The sequence below is a fragment of the Homo sapiens genome, chromosome 6 (genome assembly GCF_000001405.40).
Source record: "Homo sapiens chromosome 6, GRCh38.p14 Primary Assembly".
Lineage (NCBI taxonomy): Eukaryota > Metazoa > Chordata > Mammalia > Primates > Hominidae > Homo > Homo sapiens.
The window spans coordinates 22,896,190-22,900,968 of record NC_000006.12 but is presented as its reverse complement, the minus strand read 5'-3'; the positions used below and the strand labels follow the sequence as shown (position 1 = coordinate 22,900,968).

General features: G+C 36.6%; 1 annotated feature.

The window, feature by feature from the left end:
- Nucleotides 3,788–4,390: an enhancer, noted in NCBI's record as "OCT4-NANOG hESC enhancer chr6:22896808-22897410 (GRCh37/hg19 assembly coordinates)". NCBI's record gives its function as "activates a minimal SCP1, AML or CMV promoter by ChIP-STARR-seq in naive H9 embryonic stem cells {active_cell/tissue: H9 hESC(naive)}" and the evidence as "EXISTENCE:reporter gene assay evidence [ECO:0000049][PMID:30033119]".

The following is a 4,779-nucleotide window of genomic DNA, read 5'->3' as shown; positions in this document are numbered from 1 at the left end:
CAATATGTGAATAAGCCCATTACAAACAGGACAGTGGCTAGAACTCAGGAGGGAAAAACAATCACTTACCCTTAAATCAGGACTATCAAGAGAGTAGAGCACTGAATCCTACAGTTTACACAGAAAAAACATTTTGAGAGTAAGAAGAAAAGGCTCTGTATGAGCATCCAGGTTAGCTTGGGGCCTAGGGTCACAAATTTATTCTTAAAAGTGAAAAATAGTAGGAAAAGAAATACTAAATGCAAACTTTCCTTACTTTATAATTTTGCCTTCAGGTAGCCTGAAGTAAAAAGATCCTTTGAGATAATTATGCACTTTGAGTATAGAAAATCTTAGTACAATATTTAATATATTCATGCTTTTTTTTTTTTTTCTTGAGACAGCGTCTTACTCTGTCACCCAGGCTGGAGTACACAGGGTCTTGCTGTATCACCCAGGATGAAGTGTAGTGGCATGATCACAGCTCACCGCATCCTCCCACCTCAGCCTCCTGAGTAGCTAGTACTACAGTTTTGTGCCATCACACCCGGCTATTTTCTTTCTTTTTTTTTTTTAAGAAATGGGCCTCACTTTGTTGCCCATACTGGTCTTGAATTCCTGGCTTCAAGGAATCCTCCTGTCTCAGCCTCCCAAAATGTTGGGATTATAAGCATGAGTCCCCACACTCAGCCAGTATTTAACTTATTCCTATTGGAAAACAAAACAAAACAACAACAACAACAACAAAAAGAAACAAAAAAACCTTGCTCCTTGAACACTTAGAACTATACTGTTCCTTAATATATGTTAAATTAATTTTAATGTATATCAAAATGTCTAGCCAAAAAATCCTCTAACTTATACATTTATTGCCTCTCTTTTTTATTCCATATCTGTTTATTCTAAGAGTTTGAATTTCAAATATTATGTGTACACTTAGTAGTAGATGTAACTGTTTTATAGTTTATTAACTTCACACTTACTTACTTTACGAAACAAAATTTGGTGAGATAGAAGGCACTTATTATTGGCTGCACAATAGGATTGAACAACCAGTCACCTTATATTAAGCTAAATCCCTGGTCAGTATCAGAGCTCCTCACTTATGTCCACACGAACAATGTGATATGGCAGGCTTTGCCAATAATAAAACTCACAAACAGATATTACAAATTTTTTTGAGCATGATCTACAATGGCTACTTCAGAGAACTTGACAATCAAAATGTATTTAGTACTTAGGCCCAGATTTTGCCTAGATTATACAGGCAGTTAAGACCTCACTTTCAGTCCTAAAGGTAAAGATTGCACAATTGTGAAAGTTTGGCATCCATCAGGGCACCTTCAGGGAACAAATGGGGTGAAGCCAAATAGTCTGTGGTTGCGACCCAATTGTTTTCCTTCTTGAAGTTTCTCATACTAAATTTTTCCAAGTAATGATTCCAAGTTTTAGCAATTATTTGCTTACTTCACAGTGAAAAATCTTAAACTACAAGAAAAAGCATGCTTTATTTCCACCCCATCTCTATAAAAATGTTTACACTTACAGATTCAGTATTCATCTTGAACTTTCCATCATTGCTTCTGGCCTTGATGATACAGGGAAGGTTATTGTTAACCTCTCAATGCACAGATATAGTTTGAAGTTAAAAATTTTCTTAAACATATGCAAGAGAATTAAAGGTATTATTTCTTCTGATAAAAATCAAAGTTTCTTTTTTATGTAAGCAAGTGATAATTAAGAGTGATAACATTTCTGAGTGCCTATATCATACGTTTAAAAGTAATATTTGGCTGAGTGCTGTGGCTCACGCCTGTAATCCCAACACTTTGGGAGGCAGAGAAGCAGGTGGATCATTTGAGGTCCGCAGTTCAAGACCAACCTGGCCAAAATGGTGAAACCCCGTCTCTACTAAAAATACAAAAATTAGCCGGGCGTGGTGGCCCTCATCTGTAATCCCAGCTACTCGAGAGGGTGAGGCAAGGAGAATCAATTGAACCTGGGAGGTGGAGGTTGCAGTGAGCCGAGATCGCGCCACTGCACTCCAGCTTGGGCAACAGAGCTAGACTCCATCTCAAAATAAATAAATAAACAAATAAAATAAATAAAGGTAATATTTTAAATTTCCTAAACTTGATTCAAGAATAAAACATTTCATTCTTACTAGATTCTCCTAAAACAAAAACACAAGTGTATTTGTTAGATCATTTTCATTACCCCATTGCATAATTTAGTAAATTGCATTTAAAGAGTTAGGTGACTGTATGAGTTCCTCAAAGTTGAATGGGTTATTTAGTTTTAGTTCCCAGAATCCCCAAGATGTAGAAGGCATTTATAGCTAATCTCAAAATAAAACAAAATTTCAACATCATCTCTTATTTAGAATACTGTTTTCTGAATTGTCAACAATAAACTAAGTAACATTAAATAAAGTAAGCTTAATTTTAGATCAGTAATTGTAAAGGGTTAATACAGTTGCAAGTACTTTTAAGGCAGGTAACATGGATTATGTTAAGTTGACTAAGAGATAAATAATTTGATATTTTAGTCATGGTTCTTCACTAAATCCAACAGTGATCTAAGTCTTTGAAAAGTAAAGGAAGGTTGAATCAACTGAAATATGTTGATAATCATTTTAGTAATGGATATTAAATTAGGTTACATATGTGTGTGTATATATATGTATATATAAGTGTATATATATAGTATATATATATTGCCCCAAAGATTCTTTATAATTATATAATAAAGTTATTAGATCATGTATTTGTTTCCTATTGTCATTGTACCAGATTATTACAAGTTCAGTGAATTCAAAGAATGCAAATACTTTAACTTACAGTTCTGGGGGTTAGAAGTCCTAAATGGGTCTCACAGGGCTCCAATCAAGGTGTGGACAAGGCTGCATTCCTTCTGGAGGCTCCAGAGGGAAATTCCTTGTCTTGACTTTCCCAGCTTCTAGGGGCTGCCCATATTCTTTGGCACCATCTTGAAAACCAGCATTGGCATCGCTCCTAACTTTTCTTCTATTGTCACATCTGCCCTTCCTCCTCTGACTCTTCTGCTTCCTTTTTAGATTTATAATACCTTTTTGATTATATTGGGCCCACCAGGGGCCCAATCCAAGCCCCCCCCCGACCAATTTTGATAATCCAGGATCACCCCCTGTCCATTTTAAGATCCATAACTTAATCACAGCATGTGATGCTTTGCCTTACATGGAAAAGCATCCCCTTTGCCATGTAAGGCAACAGAGTCACAGATTCTGGGGACTAGCACATGGACATCTTTAGGGGTCATTATCTGGCCTACCACCGACTGGCTGTATTGCAGGTGACTAAGGTCCTACAAGGTAGAAACATATGTAGAAAATTATGCTGGAATTGAAATAAAATGCTTGAGGGTAGAAATGCTTCCACTGAGGCCTGGGCAAAAAGGTTTAGAGTGTGATCAGTATGTAGTTTATATGATCTTTCTTTTGAGCAAGGATTTTAGCAAGGGAGGGAGACCTCATGTAAGTCTCCACCTCCACAGGTGATTTTCTCCTTCCTATATGGGGATCAAATGCTTGCAGGTTCATCAAAGCTCAAGCAACATCCTTTTATGCCATCTGGATGATTCAGAAATATAACTAAACTATTTATAACTCATTTTTATATTCCTTAATCCAATGAGTATTTAGATGTCATATATTAAACAATGTACATCTATCTACTGCTTGCATTTCTGTCAAAATGGGATTTTTTTCACAAATGCTTTAAATATTTTATAGCCAATTGCCATTTTCACCCTAAGTTGAAAAACTAAAAGGAAATATTAGAGATGCCAGTGCAACATAAATGAGTCATCTGAATGTAAAATCATCACAATAAGATTATGAACAAAAAATATTTTATCAATAACAATTTTGATAAATATAACATTCTAGTAACCTTTGACATATCACTTCATCCTGGAAATTTTGACCTTTGACTGTGTCTCCTTCTCACCCAAGGAAAGGGAAAGAAAGAAAGGTTTGCACATTTGCCATTGCCTATTGTGATTCAAAGGCATTTGGAACAATAGCAAGTTAAGAGAGCTGCTACTTGGTGATGGCCTGTCCTATTGACCTTGAATGATCACCGTGGGGTCTTTTTCTCGAGCTATCCTAAAGGGTAAATCAGAGTTTATCAGGCTCATTAATCCAGGCTTCCACTGGGGCCTGGGCAAAAAGGTTTAGAATGTGATCAGTATGCAGCTTTCGTGACCTTTCTTTTGAGCAAGGGAGGGAGACCTCATGTAAGTCTGCACATCCGCAGGAGGTGGCTTTCTCCTTCCTATATGGGGATGAAAAGAATGATACCGAAGTCAATTCAGCAGAGAGAGTGACAAGGTCACTGTGACTGTATTCCCATGCCAGCTGTTCTCAATACAGCCTGAGTGGGTGCACCTTTAATTTTCTGATCTTCAATCTCTTTAGTGTGGATGTATTTTTATTAATAATTATGCTGGATATCTTCATCACTTTTCCTATAAAGTAGTCTTGATACGTAGTCAAAGAGGAAGGATTGGCATTGGATGATTAGGTAATGTCTTTAATTCACCGGGGCTATCTTTATTTTCATATTTACCACTTTTATTGAGACATACGATACAAAAATGGAGTAGGGAAATCCAAGTCTTGTTTGGGTACAGTTGAGGGTCAGGTGTGTAGAACAAAACCAAGTTTTTTTTCTGCATCTTTATTTCCATCTGTCTCTGATGCTGCCATACCTCAAAAGGACAAATTCTTATTTCTGGTGAAGGAGAGTCCAAAGACGT